The sequence below is a fragment of the Homo sapiens genome, chromosome 15 (assembly GCF_000001405.40).
Source record: "Homo sapiens chromosome 15, GRCh38.p14 Primary Assembly".
In the NCBI taxonomy this organism is placed as follows: Eukaryota; Metazoa; Chordata; class Mammalia; order Primates; family Hominidae; genus Homo; species Homo sapiens.
Genome location: NC_000015.10, coordinates 24,481,140 through 24,504,069, shown reverse-complemented (window position 1 = coordinate 24,504,069; position 22,930 = coordinate 24,481,140). Strand labels below are relative to the sequence as shown.

The following is a 22,930-nucleotide window of genomic DNA, read 5'->3' as shown; positions in this document are numbered from 1 at the left end:
CTCGTAGTGTCCCAGGTGCTCACCTCCCCATTCCCACCCTTCTTGTTACCTTGGTGAACATTACTATTATGTTTAATTTTCCTTTTCCCATTCACAAATTTTTCTTTCTTAGTTTTGGTCTCTAAATTTGTATTTGTAAATAATGTCCTGTTTGCTGTTTCTTGTCTTCACAAATAGATAATTACATGTCTCTATCTATACTGCTCAGTAAAATTATGAGAAACATTCAGAGAAATCAAAATTTTGATACATTTTACAAAATATGTGACCTGCTTTCTCACAAAGTGAGGACTGAGAACCTGTCCCAGATTAAGCAAGACCTGACGTTGGCAGGTGAACTCTAAGATGGTGCACAATGATCCTCACAGCTTAATTAGAATATCTAATCCTTTCCTTGTGACTTTGGGGAGAACCTGAAACTTGCTATGATACATCAGAAGACTACAACCTGACAGGATGTCACTTGGGTCATCATGTTACCTAAGATTATGATACCTGTCTTGCTGCAAGCTCTCTGTCATGGTGGTTTTCATGACACATTCTGCCATGGGAGAGAAGCCAACATGGGAAATAACTGAATGCAGCTTCTGGCCACAGACAGCAAAAACCTGAGGCTCCTCATCCAGTATCCTGCCCTAGAGGTGGCAATTTATATTTACAACTAATCTAAGCTCCTTTCACATAAAAGTATACAGCCTCAGAAGTAGTGTATCCATCTTATAAAAGAATAGTCCTATTTCTTCCTTTTTCCTGTATTTTTCCTTTTGTCCCTCTTTCCTATCTTTCATTTTACTTATATGTATATATATATATACACATATCTATATATATCTTATGCTTATGAAAATATAATTAAATAATGGCTGCTTTTTTGTTGTTGTTGAAACAGAGTCTTGCTCATCAATTTACTCTTAATAAAATTACAATAAATTTTAATTTTCTATTCTATAATCTACTTTTTTTGAAAACTTCTGAGATTCATATCTCAAATGTTCAATTGTTGTCTTGCTGCTATCAGCTTTTTCTCCCTTTGATGTGGCCTGGGATGATAACTCTATCCTTCAGCTTCTTGTCAGCTCCTGCAACTTTTCTCCTTACTTCTAAATGTTGTTGTGGCTGATGCTGAAATATTTTATCTTAGAGGTCTATAAAAGAAATGTTTTCCTCCAGGATAACCTGATTCTATGCTCTTGGGTTTTTTTTTTTTGGTTGTTGTTTTTGGTGTGTCTAAATTTTCACTGTAATCAGGAAACTTATCATGCAGCTACTAAGAGTCATGTATTCCCCAGTTCTATTCAAAACCTTGTACACACTCTTCCCATGTTTGATTAAATTCAAGCGCTTTTTATCTTAAGTTGTACTTCCAGATTATCTAAATGGGCTTTCTTCTAAGGAGAGGCAGTCACACTAAAAAAGGTTTTCCTTTGACTTTTTGGTAACTGGCTTAAGAAACAAGATTTTACGTTTTATCAAGATAGTTCCTATGCTGCCTTTATTAAGTGTTTAATTGCTTTTTAAAATCTCCTGAAATTTGAAAGGAGTAAGGATTTTATACCCGTGTAACTTTTTCTATTGCCTTTAAAGTCTTTCAGTGATCACTTTGGTTAAATGAATAACTATTGATTTACAAGGACCTGTGGTTCAGTTTTGATCAAATATTTTAAGCTTTCTCACATCTTTCACAGACATCTCCAAAATTGAATCCTAAATTAAGTCTCTGACTTCTTGCTGGGGCTTATCAAAGCTAAAAAATATTAATCACTGTGAAGTGTGTCACCACCTCCAACACCCTGAAAAAGTTCTTATCAGGTGCTATTAAGTAATCTTTGTGGTGTTAAGGTTCAAGGAATTGACTCCTGGATACATGTAGCTCCTCTAAAGAAGACACAGACTCCTGCCAGCATCTAACACCAAACTCAACTTAACCAAAGCCTCATCTTTAGACTCAAGCAAAGGCAATAAAGTACACTGCTTTCATGCAACACAGGGACAGGCCTGTATTAAACTTTATTTAATAATTTTCCTTCTATCTGAAATAGAAATATATGAAATATAATTTATTCTGTGCCTTAATATTAAATAACTGAAATGTTTATCTATCTATAGGCTTCCTTTCCTGTCACTCATTCTTTTTTTTTGAGATGGAGTCTCCCTCTCTTGCGCAGGCTGGAGTGCAGTGGCACGATCTTGGCTCACTGCAATCTCTGCCTCCCGGGTTCAAGCAATTTCCCTGTCTCAGCTTACCGAGTAGCTAGGACTACAGGCACCCACCATCACACCCAGCTATTTTTTTGTATTTTAGTAGAGACGGGGTTTTACCGTGTTGGCCGGGATGGTCTCGATCTCCTGACCTCGTGATCTGCCCATCTCAGTCCTGTCACTCTTAAAACAAGACAAGGCTTACAGCATTTTTGCTTAAAATGTTGTTAATGGTGAATATTTTGTTTTATTAATATATCCAGAACTTAAAACTGTTCAGTTTCTCCAGACCCAGGGACTATCATGGAATATACGAATGCATGAGATTGTAAGGGCTGGTTCTTGTGGAATAAAATTAATTCAGACCCCCCAAATAAAGGATGGGCATACAGATGCCTAAACAGCTAAATAAAATACTTATGTTTTGTATAGCTATAGTTCCTATAAGCCAAGATTACAACAGCTCAATGCATAAAATTCAGAGACAATGCAGTTATATAACCTTACCTTTTGACTTTTAGTTTTTGGCTCTTACATTGCTTAAAAGGGGTTTTAAGGACTAATGTCTGCCTGCCCACATTCATTCCAGTCTGGCCTACAGACTGGAATTGGATATAATTGGATATAAGACTTTTGATTCTAAGTCCCTTGGCCATAGTGGTCCCACTAAGGAACATGATGGACACAGGTCAGGTAGCACGCCGCTCTGCCATTGACATGAGAGAAAATAAAAGTGTGGCTACCCATACTGCCTCTGGCATACCTTGACAAAAAAGGAGAATATAAACTACAAAATAAAGTCCTAAGCCCCCATCAACTTAATGGACACTCCCTACCCCCATGTTAGCCAAGGCAATCTAAAAAACTAATTCAGGCCATGACAACCAGAGGGGTGATGAACAGGCTTCACTATACCTTGCTCCCATCGTGGGAATTTATGCACAACTGATCAGCATTAACATTACAATAAAAACTGTAAAACAGACTATAACAATAAAATACCAAATTATGAACAGGACTTAAGAACATGCCAGGCAAGAGTTAAGTCTCACATCCCTACAGTTTAAAAAAAGCAGACTATGTTTACAGCTGCCACAAGGTTTGTGTTTCTCTAGCAGCCAAGCAAGCACTAGCCTCAAGATAAGCTGACTGACTGACCCCAGCCACGTTCCACCAGCCATAACTACAGATTGAAGTAGACAAGAGACCAATTTCAGTAATTTTCTCCTGATAAAAGATCACTCACCATAAGCTAGTTTTGGCCGGTTTACAGTAAATGCACACTTGCATGCCTTTGTCTTCAAAAGAACTTTTGAAATATAGGGCATAATTATAATACATTTAAAAGTTAAGTCCCTGCCCCAAAATAAATGAGTTGCATGTTCCATGGATATTTGTTAATAAACATAGGTCAGCACCACCTTCATGAATATTTGCAACTCCTCCTGTAGCCTGTTAAGTATGTATAGTTAACCGACTTGTCCTCATACCTCCACAGGAGCTCTGGGTACAACTGGCATTTGGGGCTTTGCACTATAATTAAGACTAAATGCTGTGTGGACTTCCTGGATAATTCTAGAAACATATCCTCAGCCCTAAAAGACATGCACAAGCAAACTAATGCTATGTCTAATCTCAGGATGTCTTTAAATCATATGGCTTTAGATATCTTCACTGTAGCCCAGGGTGGCACTTGTGCATTCATTAAGACTGACCATTTTATACACATACACACACACACACACACACACCAGATTATTCTCACAATATAACCCAAGCTATGCATGTAGATACCCATATTTCTGTTAAAGATGCCCTCTCTCAGGACTCTATGACTTCATGATTTAGTCGGCTTCTTGGTGCATCAAATACTTTTATATATATTATTAATACTGCTAAATGCCCTCTTCAGCTGCTATGAATTTTATTGCTGTTGTACACTCTGCATGGAGATGCAGGAAATCATTCTCAGAAATTCTTGGATCCTCACACCATACATGCACAGTAAGTTCCTGCTGAAAACTCAAGAATATTTCCAACTCCAAGTAAACAGATTTCATTCTAATGCTCTATAACTATGCCCCCTTTCAGTAGGAAGCAGACCAAGTGAGTATGATGCTCCAATTGAATAAAAATAAAGTGGAATGTGACAGTGGGGTGTTGTAACCAAGTACTTCATTTTCCTTAAAAAATATGTACTTTTTCTCTTTTTCCTGTGTGTTCATGTCTTACTTAGCTCCTTAGAAATGCAAATTCAAACTTTTCCGTCCTTCTTTTCCACCAGCCAAACCACCAGCACGCACTGTCAGCTTAGCTAAGTATATGTTTGCTTACAAATTACCAAATCTTGAACCAAAACAAGCATCCGCCAGAATTCTCCTCCATACAGAGATGGTCTCAAGACCTCAGTTAATCCACAACCTGACTCTTTCCCCAGTGATGCTGGGCAGGCTAACGAATCACCCAAGACTAGAGATAAGTCATCCAGCAAGTCATATAGGTCCTGCACCTCCACACCCCTTCTGCATGCCCTGCTTGCCAATATTTCTTCTTAAAATCCTGTTTTCTGCCCAGAAAACTTATATGGTTCCTTTAGATATGAATCCCGCCCTTCCACATTGCTAAGCTCGGGAATAAAGTGACTTTCTTTTTGTTTTTTGGAGACGGAGTCTCGCTCTGTCCCCCAGTAGCTGGGATTACAGGCACATGCCACTGTGCTCGGCTAATTTATGTATTTTTAGTACAGAGAGGGTTTCGCCATGTTGGCCAGGCTGGTCTTGAAATGCTGACCTCAGGTGATCATCCCGCCTCGGCCTCCCAAAGTGCTGGGATTACAGATGTGAGCCACCGCGCCCGGCCAGTGACTTTCTTTTTACTACCCTTCTGTTACTTGATTTTGGAAGTGGCCATGGCCAAACCTGGGTTTCGTAACAAAATGGTGCCAGGCTGTGATACGATAGATGAGGGGCACTTTTTTCCTTAAAGCAGGATCTGTCAATTCTGTGTACAGCACTGAAGCCCACAGACCCTGACTGCTGCCATACCTAGCAGGGCAAGTGCCCATCTATTATTACATATTCCCATAAAATACCAGTATTTTTCTCTGTTGATTGCTCATGTCTCACACATCTTGAACAAGTATTCCCAACCCTCGCATGTTTTTTGACTAAGACAACAAAAATTAAAATTAAAAAAGAGCATAAGCATGAAAGCTTTTTGAGAATATTAAGGTAGAGGAAAATGACAATAAATAAAAAATTGAAATTCCCTTTTTACAAGTCAATGGCACAAAAGTATTTTCTGATTACAGCACTCAATGTACACATTTTCTAAGTGGTATTTTTTATATCTCTGAGAACTAAAACCAAATTTAATAATCACTCATGAAAAATAAGAAAAATTAATATCTAATAGAATAGGTGATCTGTAAAAAGAAATGTCATGTAGACATTTATGGAAGTGAGGTGGAAGGAATTATGGAGTCCAGCCATTGTCTAAATCTTTGTATAAGGAGAAGATAAAGCAACATCATGAAGTTCACACCTGCACAGTTAAGAAATGGTTGCTCCTTGTATTCAGACGTGACTGCTACACAAATCAATGCCTTGTTAACCTTCCACATGTACAGCAAACTAAGCCATATAATGGAAAGTTTTACACATCTTTTTAAGCATAAGGATCTGAGCCAATTTTGCCTTGTGGCTTCCAGAACAGTTTCTGTCCTTCTCCTTTTCAACCAGAGATATTTCAGAGAAAATTTGCACAAAAACATAGAGAATGTGTAACATCTGTCTTTTCTAATAAAAGTGATATTCACATTCAGTTTAGGAGAGAGAAATACGAGAAAAGATTAAAATATTTAAAAGTGTTCATTGAAAAATAATTGTGAATGCATTTTTAAAACAGAGGACTAAAGACCTTAAACACACAACACAAAAATAAAAATTTGGTTTTAGATAATGTTTATGAGAACAAAAAAAGAAAAAAAATATACCCAAGTGTTAAACACATTTGCACAACAAATCATATCAAAACCAGGATAAATATTACAATGCAAGAAATAAAGTCTTAAGGTATCACTCGTCAGCCAGCAGAATCAGTATTGAATAAACTCAGCCTTATTCAAAAGAACTGAATTCCCCACCTCACCAACAGAAAGGACAGGGAGCTGCTGCCCTTGTGCATGGAGACCCCATACAGTGGCTCTGAGCTCAGAGGCTCCCATGTGGCTTTGACTTTGGTGGGCATGGTCTGGAGGAGAAACAACCTGTCACAGGGGAATCTACACCAGTGCAGGAGGTTACTATGGGTGCATCTCAAGGTTTTCAATATTACTGGCTGTTGTTGAAAGTATTTATACATAAAGTGGGGAGTGGTGTTGGGGGATTGTCTCAGATTCACAAGGATATTAAGGGATTTAAGAGTCTACAGCAACGTTCTAAGTTCTAAACCAGCCGGGTGCAGTGGCTCCCGCCTGTAATCCCAGCACTTCAGGAGGCTGAGGTGGGTGAATTGCTTGAAATTGGGAATTGGAGATCAGCCTGGGCAACAAGGTGAAACCCCATCTCTACAAAAAATACAACAACAAAAAAAATCTAACTGGGCATGGAGTTGTGCACCTGTGATCCTAGCTACTTGGGAAAGTGAGGTGGGAGGATCGCTTAAGCCCAGAAGTCGAGGCTCCAGTGAGCCAAGATCTTGCCACTGTACTCCAGCCCAGGTGTAAGAGCAAGATCCTGTCAAAAAAAAAATTAAAATTTATTTTTTTTAAAAAAGTTCTACACCTACAGCTTTATTTAAGGTACAGCTGAAAGTATTGGTGTAGGTGCAAGACATGCAGGTTGTTACATTTTTTACTTCATTATAGAGAAGTACCATGGCTAAAAGAAGAGGCTCTGGGCCAGGCACAGTGGCTTATGTAAAGTATAAAATAAATATCCATGTTTAGATGATGACATAAATAATTTATGTATAAATGAATAAATGTGTAGTAGAATAGACACGCTTACAGTTGAGAGTTCAAATAAATTTGTAGACATTCTGCCAATAAAAAGGTAGATCGTGAATCCCCACTTTTTTTTTTTTTTTTGAGATGGAGTCTGGAGTCTCGCTCTGTTGCCCAGGCTGGAGTGCAGTGGCGTGATCTCAGCTCACTGCAAACTCTGCCTCCCAAGTTCAAGTGATTTTCCTGCCTCAGCCTCCCGAGTAGCTGGGAGTACAGGCGTGTGCACTGTGCCTAGCTAATTTTTGCATTTTTAATAGACACGAGCTTTCGCCATGTTGGCCAGACTGGTCTCGAACTCCTGACCTCAGATGATCTGCCTGTCTCAGCCTCCCACAGTGCTGGGATTACAGGCGTGAGCCATCATGCTTAGCCCATGACTCCCCACTTCTTAAATGTGTGTTGTGTTAGTGACTTTGTTCTGAAACATTCTATGGGGAAAGGGAAAAATAATAATTTCACCGTGTGTGACAATTTGATAAAAATGACCTCATCTAGGTGATCAAATTAACATTAACAGTGATAAAGCCTGTTGAGAGCCTGTGCCCTTGGTATGATGTGAGGAGAATGGCACCTTTCCTCTGTCATCTTCCTCCCCTAAACCCACAAATCTAGTCTCATCATGAAAAAAAACCTAAAAAGAAATCCCACATTAGGAATGTCAATGCCATCAAAAACTAGGAAACGCTAAGAAACTGCAACAGTCAGAGAAATCTAAGGAGACGTGATATTTAACTGTGCTGAGGTATCTTGGACAAGGTCCTGGAATAGAAATTAGACATTAAGTGAAAACTAAGAAAATCTGAATAAAGTATGAAGAGTGGATAATGATACTGTTTAAAATTGGTTAATTGTGACAAATGTCCTACATTAAGAAGTTAATAAAAAGAGCAACTGTAGTGGGATATATGGAAAGTCTATGTTATATATTTAAAACAATTCTGTAAATCCTAAACGATTCTTAAATGTATAAAGTTTCTTTTTATTTAAAGTCACTGCTGACCTCATAAAATAGAACATGAGCAATATGTTGATAGCCATTAATGGATCTCCTTAGCTTCATCATCTTCCTTAATCACTGAAGGTAACTATTACTGTGAATTTATTTGTTATCCTCTAATTTGTGCTTGTTATATTTATCTCTATGTTTATATTTCTAATATCTATGATGTTTAGTTTTTCTTGTCTTCAAACTTAGATGACATGTGTTTAATGTATACATGTCCCTAATTTAATCATGAGAAATCATGAGACAAATCCATACTGTGGGATATCTTACAAAATATCTGACCTGTACATTTCAACAGGGTCAAGGTCAAGAAAAAGAAGTGAAGACTATGAAACTTGCAGATTGGAGAAGACCTAATGTGTCAGTTAGACCCTGCAATGGTGCCCAACGATCCCCACCTGCAAGAAATACCTGTGCTTTGTTGAGTTGCCTCCTCCGTGGCTCACATGACCAACACATGTGAGCTCAACTTTTCTCGAACTCAGAGCTCTCCTAGACAGTGGCTACATTGGTGGGAATGGAGTGGACACAGGTCGAACAAGTGCCACAAGGGTGTCTGACAGTATAAACAAATATCCTGTGAGAAGGATGCTGGGTCAAAGATTGTACACTTATGCTTTGGGGTATCCATCAGGATAAATAAGTATCCCAGGAGAGGCACACTGTAAACATCCAGGACACAGTTTCCTGGAGTCCTGTTGGGCAGGGTGATAATTTATAGTCACTGTCCCTAGAGAGACCTCAAGAGATTATTAGACATAACAAAAATACAAGAGATGTAGAGGTGATTTTATAAATTATGGCTCAAAGATCCCATGGAGAAGGAAGATAGAAATGGGTCGCTGGGTCAGATGCCTGGCAGAGATTTCAAGGGAAGGCTCATCTGGGGAAGGATCCCCTTCCAAGCTCCTGGGATTCTTGGGAGGATTCAATTTCTGTCCAGGTCAAGAAGACTTCACTGGTGAGTTATTCAAAGCCTTTTGGGAATTAATAACAATCAATAAAAACAGACGAGTAGAGAACTTTTCCTAATGCAATGTATGAAGCCAGTGTTCCCTGACACCACAGCTAGACAAAGACATTTCAAGAAAAGAAAATTATAGACCAATGTGAAACAGGTAAAAAGTATCAAGGAAATATTATCAAAATTAATTAGTAACATATAAAAAGGAGTATACACTAGGAACAAAACTATTTATCCCTGCAATGTAAGTCTGGTTAAACATATAAAAACAATTGGTGTTATAAACTATACTAATAGAATTTTTTAAAAAGACTCATGGTCGGTCACCTCTAAAGATACAGAATAAGCATTTGACAAATTCCAAACCCATTCATGATAAAAGCTCTGGGAAAATTAGGCATAGAAGAAAACTTTCTAAACCTACAAAGAGCATCCATGGAAAACTCACATAACATGAGGAAAGACATATAAGCCAACAGAATAGAGTTGAGCACCCCAAAATCAATCTTTATATATAGGGCAAACTTATTTTCAAGGTTGAAAAATTAATTCAACATGAAAAAATAGTTTTTCAACAAATGTTGCTGGGAGAAAGGGATATCCACAGCAAGTTAAACTGTTTCCTGCACCATATATGTATTTGACTCAGAATATGTGGCTAAATGTAAGAGCTAAAACTAAAAATCCCACAGAAGAGAACATAAAAATAGATTTTCATGGCCTTACATGAAACAATGGATTCTAACATGTGACACAAAAGTAAAAGTGACAGAAAAAAAAATAGATACATTGAACTTCATGTGGATCAATACCTTTTAAGATGCAACGTACACCATCAAGACAACTGAAATAATGGAAGAAGATATTCTCAAGTCATATAACTGTTAGGAGACTATTATCCAGAATATATGAAACATTCAGGCATGCACCACCACACCCGGCTAATTTCTGTATTTTTAGTAGAGATAGGGTTTCACCATGTTACTTAGGCTGGGCTCAAACTCCTGGCCTCAAGTGATCTACCCACCTGAGCTTCCCAAATTGCTGGGATTACAGGCATGAGCCACCATGCCCAGCCTCACTCTTCATTATTATTTTCTATATTTGTATTTCTAAATAATATATTGTGCAGGTATTTTTTTGTCTTCAACATTAGACAAATACGTGTATAAATTAATGTTTATTCTTACTCAAATTATGAAAAAAAAATAACAAATCCATATTGTGATACATCCTATGGAACACCTGACAAGTTCTTTTCACTAAGATCAAGGGCAAAAAAATAAGTGAAGACCCAGAAACTGATACAGATTAGACAGGGCCTGATGTGGCAGGTAGGTTCTAAGATGCTTCCCAATGATCCACACCTCTAGATATGAAGAACCCAATTCTAATATCCTCACTGTGAGGTTTAGACATGTCATAACACATGTATAAACAAACACAAAAGAGGCAAAGTGTATGGAACAATGATTTGTAAGAGAGAATATATAAAACAGTGAAGGACAGTGATACCTGAGACATACAATAGCGTGACATGAGCTCTACCATTGCCTGAATATACCACCTTGGGAGATGTTCCAGGCTGTGGTGTGGCACGGACTTTGGAAGACACTGTGAGTTGAGAAGATGGAACTGACAGTCGAGTACAGACTGGCTGGATTGCATCTAGCATTTCTTCCCATCCAGTGGTAAGAATGGGAGACAGCATCCATGTCAGCATCCATGCAGGCTGGACTGCTAGTGTCATCATTACTCACTGAAATATGGTTCACAGAAGTACAGGAGCAACGCAGATACATAGGCAAAGAAACAAAGAAAAGTCACTTGAATGAAGATTTAATATTGCAAAAAGATGGACACCTTTACATGTTGTAGCAAAACCAAGGCTTAAAAAATAACCATTCGAGATAAAGTAAATGATGTGTATAAGTCGAATGAACCAACCAAGTGGACACATACCTACTCTTACTATACAATTTTCATACAGGTGGCTGATAAACTCACTATATTATAAAATAATGAAAGTGCAGCTTTCTATTTATAAGAGCAGAACACAATTATCAGAAAAATAAGGATTAAAATATTTTTACCCCCATTTATTTCCCTATAAAACCTTAAGTTTGCTTTATATTTGGAAAATAATTTGTCACTTTCTTCACTACATAAATTCCACTGCCATTCTAGTTTGCATGGAGTATAGGATTGCTATTTTTATGCAGTAAAATTAAGTTAAATGGTGCCAGGCTGCAATATAAAAATGAGGGGTTGTTATTATTGTTATTTTAATCAAGATCTGTCATTGAAATTCTCTGTGTATAGTATTGAAGCTAAGAGACCCTGACTGCAGCCCTAACTGGAAAATCAAATGCCCATCTACTGATTTGGAGCACTTGTTAAATATCAGTGTTCACGCTCTCTTGGTTGCTCACATCTCATAAATCTTGGACAAATGTCCCCTATGTCCCCAGAATAATTTTAGAGCATTATATTGATTATTACCTTTCTTGTACAGTAGGCATATGTTATTGAGTTTCAACGACTCATTCTGTATGAATGCTTCACTCACAAGAGGATGTGTTGTCAACATAGTCGTGTTGGAATTAAGGCACTCCTCACTGCAAGCTCTCAATAAATTCTGGTCTGTTTGTTGGAGTCCTGCTAAATTATATCTGAAAATGGGGCTTTTTGAGACATGCGAGTAATAGGCATCTGTCTTTCAAAAACTGGTTACGTAGTTAGCACCAGATGCTAAAACTGGTGAGTGAAAAATGCGGAATATGATGAAGAAGATGAAAGAGGATGAGTCTCTGGAACTTGGGGGGATCTTCCTGAAGCAAGTGTACCTGTGTTCGAGTTGGTAAATCAATATGGAAAGATGCTTTGCTATTCTCTCTCTACGTGCCCTTTCATCTCCTGAGCTGAAGGTATTCTGTTTGTGCTTTGAGATTATTTTCATATCACATTTAATGCTTTTTTCAAAAACATTTTTTCTTTGAAATAATTTTAAATACACAGAAATATGCAAAGATACTACAGAAAGCTTTAGATATCTTTGAATTACATGCAATGTAATAGATTATGTAACCATGAGCCCTAAAAAACAGTTGGCACAAAACTATTTATTGAAGTATAGGCTTTTTCCATATTTTACTAGGCTTTTAAGTAATGTCATTTTTCTGTCCAGGATACCACATTGCATTGACTGTCAGGTGTATTATTTACTGCTGAATAATAAATTCTCACACACTGAGTGGCTCTTACTCACAGTTTCTCTGTATCATGAATCCAGATGTAGAGGATGGCCAAGGACGAGGTCTCAAGCGAAGGTTCAGTTGGGGAAGGCTCCTCTTCCAAGTTCGTGTGATTGTTGTTAGGAGTCAAGGCCCTGTGCTGGTTGAGATGACTTCACTGGTGAACTATTCTAAACCTGAAAATAATTAATAACAATCTATCACAAACTCTTCATAAAAACTTAAACAACAGTAAAAGTGGAGAAGAGATCACTTCCTGATGTATACTATTAGTTTACACTGATATTAAAACTAAAGCAAGACATCTCAAGAAAGAAAAATTAAGACCAATATCTTTTATAAATAGAGGGTAAATGTCTTCAATAAAATGCTAGCAATACAAATCAGCAAATGTAAAAAGAATTATACACCATCACCAATGGTATTTGTCCCAGGAATGCAAATTTGGTTCAACATACAAAATAATTAGTGTCATGACCTATAAGAATAAAATAAAAAACAAAAGCCATATGATCATCTCAAAAGATGCAGGAAAGGCACCTGACAAATCTAAAATCCATTTTTGATAACAGTATACAACAAATTAAGCCTATAAGGAAAGTTTCTTTATTTTAAAGGGCATCCATGAAAAACTCAGTATCATCATAATTTAATTTAAAGGCTCAATAATAGCATAAACTTGGACATACAGATCAAAGGAATATGGTAGAATTGAATGTCCAAAAATTAATCTTTACCTTTATAGTCAAATGATTTTATAAGTCTGCCAAGCCAATTCAATATGGAAAAATATATTTTAACAAATGTTGCTAGGACAATTGAATATCCACAAGGAAGTTGAACTTCTCACTCACACCATATACATAATTGGCTCAAAGTAATCATATATCCAAATGTAAGAGCTAAATAGACCAAACCCTTAGAAGATAATATAGAAATACATAATTTGGGTCTTAGCTTAAACAATAACTCCTATAATTTCTAAGATATGATACTTAAAGCCCAAGAAAAGGAAATTAAAAAATGAATATATTTAACTTTGTAAGAATTAAAAATTTCTGAGATTCAAAGTACATAATTAAAAGTGAAAAGATAACACAAAGAATAGAAGAAAATCTTCACAATCACATAGCAGAAAAGAATATATTAGCCACAATATATAAAATATTTTACAACTCAAAATAAAAAGGCAAATATCACAATCAAATTGGTGAACTATCTGAATAGACATGTATCCAAAGATACTATAGTCACATCTAGTAAGCACATGATATGAGGCCTAAGTCTTTTGTCATTAGGAAAATGCAACTCTAAACAACCATGAGATACATTTCACAAATCTAAAGGGTATATTGCAAAAAAAAAGTAAATTTAAAAAGGCAAAATACTTTGTGTGGTTTCGGTTATGTGACACTCTGCAATGTGAAAAAGCATAGAGATAATAAAATGTTTGGTATTTACTAGGAGCTTGGAAAAGAGGCAGGCCAAATTGGTGAGGTACAGCAGATTTGCTCTAGGCAGTGAAATTATTCTGGTATCATACTGTAATGATAAATACGTGATTATATTTTACAAATCCTAAATAACTTTGTAATACAAAAAGTGAACTTAAAATATAGAAATTAAAACCCTTCTACAGTAGGTAGCAGATAGCATGGGGCTATACACATAATAGAATTAAATAACACATCAGTGAAATAACCTCACTGAATGGAGGGGGGAAAGCAGCTGACCCAAGGAACGTAGCAAGTAAGTGGATATTCTGAGTCTAAAGGGTAAAGATTTATCCCTAAAAACTTTAGTTGGTAAAGTTCTTTCTCATGGCCATATACATTTCTAATTCTGAAACCACTTATACAAGTCTTTTGGATTATGTGATTAAATAACAGAAGCATCTTTATCACTGTTAGTGTGGTAGGCTACACACAAGTAAGCGGGAATAGGTGCAGTGATTCACGTGGTACTGGATTAGATCATGGGGTGCTGGAGGATTATTAGGAATTCATGTTTAACTTAAAGATACAGATATATGAGAAAATATTTGTGTGTGTGTGTGTGTTTCTGTGTGTGTGTGTGTGAATCAGTGTACATAGATGTATTTGCTCTGTCAGCACACAAGATCACGAATCAACAGATGCCCCAGGAGCAATGAATATGTCAAGAGCCCAGATCTCCATTTCTCATTCAATTTTCCAATAAGAAGAACTAGGGCTCTGTGGAAAAAATGGTTAATACCAGGCTTGTGAGGAAATCCACACAATTAGCTTAAGCACCTAGTAGTGCCAGAAAAAATAAAACGCCAAACAACAGAGCAAACAACTAACCAACCACATAACAATAGCAAAGCTTCATTATGGTAGTGTTTCAAAATGACAAACGATCCAACTGAAAGACCTTCCAATAGCCAACACTGCAACAATTTAAACAAATAAATGAAGTAGTAGAAGGAAAGAGTAAAACAAATATCCATGTTTGCATACTGACAAAAATGACTGCATAAATATAACGATTATTGGAGGAGAATAGACACTTTCAGGATGAAAGGTCCAAATAACTTTTGGTAAACATTCTGCTCATAAAGTGGAGCATTTTTTGTTTTGTTTGTTTTTTTTTTTCAAGATGGCAGATTGGAGACTTTGTTAGTGTGCCTCACCTGCTTAGAAAGAGCAAAATAGTGTCTAGAGATTCACACTGTGAATTTGTATCCAACAATCACAGGAACTCAACAGAAGAAGTGAAAGAACCTTTGGATACTTTGAAAGGAGCAGCAGGCAGCAACTTGCACCATGTGTCAGATGGGAAATTGAGGCTTCAGAGTGCGAAAGGGGGAGACTCTCTCTGTGATACATTCCCACTGGGGAACCAGGCAGTCCAGGTCACAGGGAAGTGCCTTAACCCTGCCCAGCACTGGAGCTGACTTACAGAGGAGGGGACCATGAAAGAAGGAGTGGCACCTGGGTGTGCTGCGTGTGCACTCCCAGATCCCAGCAGGCACAGAAGGAAGATATTCCTGACCCTGATTCATAGAAGATCTTGCAGAAATCAGCGAAGTAACCCAGGCAGCAGTCACGCACTGAAAGAAGCTCCCAACTGAGGGAGAAGCTGACCAACTAAGATTTGTATTTGATCTAATATTGAGCAGCGGATGAACCCCTTAAGGCCCGAACCAAGGGGCATGCAGGAAGCTTTCTTGTGCCAGGGTCATGGGAGCTGGGTACTGCTGCTTCACATGTCAAATCAAGGGGTGTGGCCTCAGAGCTACCGTTTCAGTTTCAGTCTCCAGTGGGAAGTCTTGCAGCCTGGGGCAGGTTTGTGTTCTCAGCCTAGACTGCCTGGGACTTAGCTGGCTATTGTGGGTGTTTGCCAGCAGAGGTCTGCATGTGTAAGACCTTCTGTGTCAAGGTCATGGGAATTGACCTGCCACTTGCTACCCCTCTCTCCGTACAGACTCTCATGTGGCAGAGGGTGTTCTCCTCCCTGGAACACTATCCCAGTGGTCAGGGAACTGTCCACTGACCCCCATTGTGGCTTCTGCTTACACTCACACTTGGAGAGGCAGAGTATGGACTGTCCTGACCCAGCCCACACTCGGCTTTGCCCCTCTACCTGTCCTAGTAGCAGAATAGGAACAGGGACTTCTTAGAATTCCGTGTCACTTCCCATCAGCTGACTACTTCCCCTGGGTAACAAAGGTTAAGCATAAATCCCACCACCATGACTGCATCTGGCTCTCTCCTGCAATTGCCACCTTCTGGTCCAAGGTCAATCAACACAGTCCATTACAACATCTGCCGGCATATTAACATGATACTGGTATAAATGTAGACATACAGACCAGAGGAACAGAACAGAGACCCCAGAAATGAAGCCAAATACTTACGATTAACTGATTTTCAACAGAACAGACAAAAACATAACTGATGAATGAACACCCCATTCAACAAAAGGTGCTGGGAAAATAAGATAGCCACATGCGGAAGAATGAAACTGGATCCATATCTGTCACCATATATAAAAATTAACTCAAGATGGATTAAAGACTTAAATGTAAGACATGAAACCGTAAAGACATTGGCCTAGACAAACCTAAGACCCCGAAAGCAACTACAACATAAACAAAAACAAATAAATGGGACTTAGCGAAACTGAAAAGCTTCTGCACAGCAAAAGAAATAATCGACGGAATAAAGAAACAACCTACAGAATGGGAGAAAATATTTGGAAACTGTCCATCCAACAAAGGACTAACCCAGAATCTACAAGAAACACAAACAAATCAGCAAGAAAAAAATAAATAACCCCATTAAAAAGTGGGGAGATGACATGAACAGGCAAAAGAAGATACACAAATGGCCAGCAAACATATGAAAAAAAAATGCTCAACATCACTGATCATCAGGGAATGCAAATTAACACCATAATGCGATACCAATCTTACCCTAGTCAGAAGGACCATTATGAAAAAGTCAATAAATGATAGACATTGGTGTGGATGAGGTGAAAAGGGAATGCTTAGACACCCTTGGTGGGAATGTAAATTAGTACAACCTGTATGGTAAACAGTATGGAGATTTCTCAATGAACTTTTAAAAGCAGAGCTACCATTCAATCTAGCAATCCCACCACTGGGCATGGACCCAAATGAAAAGAAGTCATTCTATCAGTCCCCACCTCCAGTCTTCCTGGACCCTGCAATTCGGGGGTTTCAGGCTCGGGACAAGTGCAGGGTTCTCCATAAAGGCAGCCTCGGTGGTGGACCCGACCCCTTGCAGCCCCACAGAGAGGGAGCGGAGGGGCGCGTTCTGCAGCCTGCTGCACAGGATAAAAGGTAAATTCCACCTGGTGAGCAGAAGGCGCCTGTGGCAGCTCCGCTGGGGCTGGGGGAGTACAGGCGAGAGTGGCTGGCGGCCTGGCACACAAGTGTATGCAGAGCACATGCTCAGAAAACTGGGGCAGACAGGCAAAGGTGGTGGTCGCAGAGACTTTGGTTCAGGGGCTCAACACGCCGGCCAGGGATGTGGCCCATCACCTAGTCTCTGGAAGCACTTTATGCTCCTCACTCGGCTTCCTGTTACAAATCGTGACAATATATTTCAGAGGACCTGGGGGAAATTCGCCCTCTTGGCACCATCAGGTCGGTTCTCTGTGGCGTTCCGCTGGGGAAGGGAGGAAGTCCCCACAGATGGTGTGAAGGAGGGGTGCCCGACCTCAGGCTTGGCACATGGGTGAGCTCCACTTCCCGGCCCCAAAGCCCTTATTGCATCTGCTGCAGACTCCGTCAGACTGGGCACGGTGATCCAAGAGTTCACCCAAGTGAGAAATCCGGGTTAAGGTAGGTGTTGCTGCCCAGCGGGAGACCAGAGCCTGCCTTCTTCCTGGGCCTGAGGGAAGTGACATGGCCATTGCCAGGGCTGGGGTCCAGAGAAGGCTGTTTCTGGTGTCACTGTGCTCTGTGCCAAGTAGGGAGAAATGTTTTTAAGGAGTTGACAACAACTCCTGAGAAAGCATTTCAGTGGTTACTGGAGGACTTGCACTCTGGAAATGCAGAGAACCCAGGACTGCTGCCAGGAATAACTAGGTGATTACACACGAGACGGCAGACAGAGCCTGGCTCATTTCAGTACTCTGCATGGGTTAGTTGCCACCATCAGCTGTGATGGGAACATGTGGTGATTGCTTCACAAGATGACAGTGGCCCTGAGGAGTCTGGAGACTGGGAGGTCCCAGATCAAGGCGCCAGCAGGTTTGGTGTCTGGAGACAGCCCACTTCCTGGCTTACAGTCAGTGGGCTTCTCTTGTGCTGGCATCTCTCTCACTCCTAGGCCAGGCTCCTTCTGCAACCAATCGTTAGCTGCCAACCCCTAAGGGCCAGACAATACATTTACAAATTACAACCTGGCACATCCAAGGTAGCAGGAGGAGAAAGAGCAACTTTTTGTCTTGGAAGCCAAGCTTCGTTGTTGGCTGGCACCCAATGTGCATTTCAGGTTTTTACGGTTCCTTGTCTGAGGTTATTGTAGCTGATTCCCAGGGTATCCTAATCTAAGAAGCAGTGAGTGAGCAGTGAGTTGGAAGCAGTCAGTGAGCCTGAACTTTGCTAACTGGAAGGACTGGCTGTCCCCTCCCCTTACCTTCCAGTCTCTCTCCCTGACTGCCCTGTACAAGACAGCCCCACCTGAAATAACTGAAGGCACTTCAGTTCTGTGTTGCTTTTCCTTGCAAAACATGGGTAAGATCTTAAAAAGATCCTGGAAGTGTGTCTCTGTGGCATGCATCGAGGTACGTATCCTTCCTTGAGGTGTGTTAGTTTCATCTTTCAGTACTCAGAGTTGTCTGCATATTGCCAGGGAGGGAGGAGGTGCCAAACCCTGTGCTCAGCCAGGATGCCCTGGCCTGGCCACGCCTTCTGAGGCTTCCACAGACCTAAGAGGGACTAAGAGCTGGGGTCAAAATGTTCCTGTCACTGACGCCCTGCTTCCAGAAAAGAGATCCAGAAGGAAAAAGAAAAGATGTTGGGACCTTTTTTTTTTCTTTTCCTAGCCACATCTTTTGGGGGTTGGGGTGGGACAAAATAAACCTATGTTCAAGAAGACAGTCTATGCTGAAAATGACACACAGTGTAACCACCCAATGGATTCACCTTGCCTGCTGCCTAAAAGAGTTGATTTATCAAGACAGGAAAATTGCAATAGACAAAGAGTAATTCACAGAAAGCCAACTGTGTAGGAGACTGGAGGAGTTTTATTATTACTCAAATCAGTCTCCCAGGACATTCAGGTATCAGTGTTTTAAAGGATAATTTGGTGGGTGGGGGAAGGCCAGTGAGTTTGGAGTTCTGATTGGTCACATCATAGATGGAATCACAGGGAGTCCAAGCTGTCCTCGTATGCTGACTCAGTTCCTAGGTGGAGGCCACAAGATCAGATCAGGCAGTTTATCCACCAGGGTTGTGCCAGCTGATCCATCAAGTGCAGGGGCTGCAAAATACCTCAAGCACTGATCTTTGGAGCAGTTTAGGGAGGGTCAGAATCTTGTAGCCTCCAGCTGCATGACTCCTAAGCCATAATTTCTAATCATGTGGCTAATTTGTTAGTCATACAAAGGCAGTATAGGCCCTAGGTAAGAAAGAGGTTTGAGAAAGGACTGTTATTGTCTTTGTTTTAAACTATAAGCTGTAAAGTAAGTTCCTCCCAAAGTTAGTTTAACTTTGCCCAGGAAGGAACAAGGGCTGCTTAAAAGGTTAGAAGCAAGACGGAGTCGGTTAGGTTAGATCTCTTTCACTGTCTCAGTGCAGGTGGATCACTTGAGCCCAGGAGTTCCAGACCAGCCTGGCCAACAAGGCAAAACCCCATTTTTACTAAAAATACAAAAATTAGCCAGGTGTGTCACACCTGCAGTCCCAGCTCCTCAGCGGCTGAGGCACAAGAATTCCTTGAACCCAGGAGGCAGTGGTTGCAGTGAGATGAGATTGGGCCACTGCTCTCCAGCCTGTAGGACAAAGTGAGACCCTGTCTCTCTCTCTCTCTCTCTCTCTCTCTCTCTCACACACACACACACACACACACACACACACACACAGTCATTCTATCAAAAAGACACTTACACTTCTAGGTTTATCACAGCACAATTCACAATTGCAAAAATACGAAATCAATCTAAGTGCCCATCAACCAATTAGTGGATAAAGAAAATGTGTGTGTGTGTGTGTGTGTGTGTGTGTGTGTGTGTATGTATGTATGTATATTACAGAATACTACTCAGCCATATAAAAGAACAAAATAATGTTTTTTCAAAGCAATTTTGCCATTATCACAATTGAAATAACTCAGGAGCAGAAAACCAAATACCGCAGGTTCTCACTTACAAGTTTGGGGTAAGCAATGGATATGCAGGAGCATGCAGAGGGGGATCATGGACATTAAAGATTCTGAAAGGAGGAGGGTTGGAGGTGAGTGAGGGATAAAAAATTACCTATGAGGTAAAATGTACACTATTCGGGTGACAGGTATGCTAAAAGCCCCAGACTTCACCACTGTACAATTCATGCATTTAACCAAAAACTACATGTAATCCCAAAGCTATTGAAATTTTAATAAATTTATTTCAAAGAAAAAGCAGTGGTGTATGATTCTCCAAGTACTGAGTGTTTGTTGTATATAGTGACTTTTCTTTATGCACACAACATGAAAAGGGAGAAAAAGAATAATTTTACGGAAGAGATTTTTAGAATGAAAAGATTTTTATCCAGGTGATCAAATTAACATCAACAGTGATAAAGCCTGTTGACAGCTTGTGCCCTGGATATTATGTGATAGGAATGGTACTTTTCATCTATATTCTTCCTCCCTTAAGCCCAGAAGTCCAGTCTCATCATGAGAGAAACAGCAGAGAAATCCCAAATTAGAAACGTCAATGGCATGAAAAACAAGGAAACGCTGAGAAACTATCACATTCAATGGAGCCTATGAAGCCATAATATCTAAATGTGACGACTTATCCTAGAAGAGATCCTAAAACATAATCTTAACATTAAGCAAAAACTAAAAAATGAGAATAAAGTATGTATAGTACTCAATGACAATACATGAGATTGGTTGGTTAATTCTGACAAATGTTTCACGCTATGAGATTAATAATAAAGGACACTGTGCATGGAGTATATGGAAACTCTCTACTAGATTTGCAACTATTCTGTAAATGTAAAACCATAGAACCGTTTTTTGTTGTTGTTTTTGTTTTTTGTTTTTTTTTTGAGACAGAGTCTCCCTCTGTTGCCAGGCTGGAGTGCAGTGGCATGATCTCAGCTTACTACAATCCCCGCCTCCTGGGGTCAAGTGATTCTCCTGTCTCAGACTCCTGAGTAGCTGGGATTACAATCGTCCACCACCATGCCAGGCTAATTTTTTGTATTTTTACTAGAGACAGGGTTTTGCCATGTTGGTCTCGAACTCCTGACCTCAGGTAATCTGCCCGCCTCAGTCTCCTAAAGTGCTGGGATTACAGGCGTGAGCCACTGTGCCTGGCCTTGGAAAACCATTGTTTAAAACTTGTTATTTTTGTTGTTGTTAATGTCACTCCCAAGCTTAAAAAAACCAATGATTAGCAATATTGTTGATACCTCCTTTGTGCATCTCCTTAATTTCTCAGTTTTCCTTAAGCACTGAACTTAACTATATTGTGAATTGTCATTCCATACTTTAAAAATAGTTTTTCCTCTTTGAGTATTTCTGAATACTATATTCTTTAGGGCTTTTTTGTCTTCAGATTTAAGTGAAGTTATTTCATTCATTAATATTCCTAGTTTAATCATGAGAAAACATCAGCTGAAACCATATCGTGGGACATCCTATTAAATACCTGACTGGTACTTTTCAAAAGGGTCAAGGTCATGAAAAAGAAGTGAAGGCCAGGAAACTGTTTCATATAGGAGAATACCTGATGTGTCAGGTAGACTCTAAGTTGGTGCCCATTTATCCCCACCTTCTCATATACACAACCTTCTACTGTAATCCCATCCAAGTGACTCTAAGCAGGAATTGAGACTTGCTTCGAAACAATAGAATAGTGCAAAGGTATAGAAGTGTCACTGGGATTCTTATATATGATTATGATTTTGGTCTTGCTAGAGATGTCTCTCTTGATGGATTTTATGAAGCCATGTGAGAGAAGCCCCCTTGGCAAGGCACTTTATTTAGCCAATGGCCAACAGCCAGGAAGGTAAGAGGCTTTTTGTGCAATGCACTGTTCTACAGTTGGAAACATTATATTTAAAACTAACCATACTGCCCAAAGAAGTTTACAGATTAAATGCCGTTCCTACCAAACTACTAAGGACATTCTTCACAGAACTAGAAAAAAACTGTGTTAAAACTCATATGGAACCAAAAGAGAGCCCCAATAGCCAAGGCAATCATAAACAAAAAGAACAAAGGTGGAGGCATCATGTTATCTAACTTCAAACTATACTACAGGGATAAAGTAACCAAACAGCATGGTGCTGCTATAACAGCAGGCACATAGACCACCTGAACAGAATAGAGAGCCTAGAAATAAGGCCGCACACTTATGACCATCTGACCTTTGACAAAGCTAACAAAAACAAGCAATGGGGAAAAGACTCTCTAATCAATGAACGGTACTGGGAGAACTAGCTAGCCATATGCAGAAGACTGAAACTGGACCCCTTCCTTACACCATATACAAAAATTAACTCAAGATGGATTAAAGACTTAAATGTAAAACCCTAAATTATAAAAACCCTGGAAGACAACCTAGGCAATACCATCCTGGATATAGGAATAGGCAAAGATTTCATAATAAAAACTCTGAAAGCAATCACAACAAAAGCAAATATTGGCAAATGTGATCCAATTAAACTGAAGAGCTTTGCACAGCAAAAGAAATTATCATCAGAGTGAACAGACAAACTACAGAATGGGAGAAAATATTTGCAGACTATGCATCTGATGAAAGTATAATATCCAGCATCTATAAAAAACTTA

The 22,930-nt window shown here is 39.4% G+C and overlaps 1 long non-coding RNA gene across 2 annotated transcripts in view, besides 1 other annotated feature; it reads right to left on the bottom strand.

Moving 5' to 3' along the window:
• The window catches only part of LOC105370733 (uncharacterized), a 440,742-nt gene that overhangs the window by 38,352 nt on the left and 379,460 nt on the right, over positions 1-22,930 (bottom strand). Inside the window, exon 2 of one of the 2 annotated variants that reach the window (XR_007064536.1) lies at positions 12,443-12,604. The exons of the other annotated variant lie outside the window; for it this stretch is intronic. This is a non-coding gene — a long non-coding RNA (uncharacterized LOC105370733). The remainder of the gene's footprint in view (positions 1-12,442; positions 12,605-22,930) is intronic. 2 annotated transcript variants of the gene reach the window in all.
• Positions 17,367-17,867: an enhancer, noted in NCBI's record as "H3K4me1 hESC enhancer chr15:24731350-24731850 (GRCh37/hg19 assembly coordinates)". NCBI's record gives its function as "activates a minimal SCP1, AML or CMV promoter by ChIP-STARR-seq in naive H9 embryonic stem cells {active_cell/tissue: H9 hESC(naive)}" and the evidence as "EXISTENCE:reporter gene assay evidence [ECO:0000049][PMID:30033119]".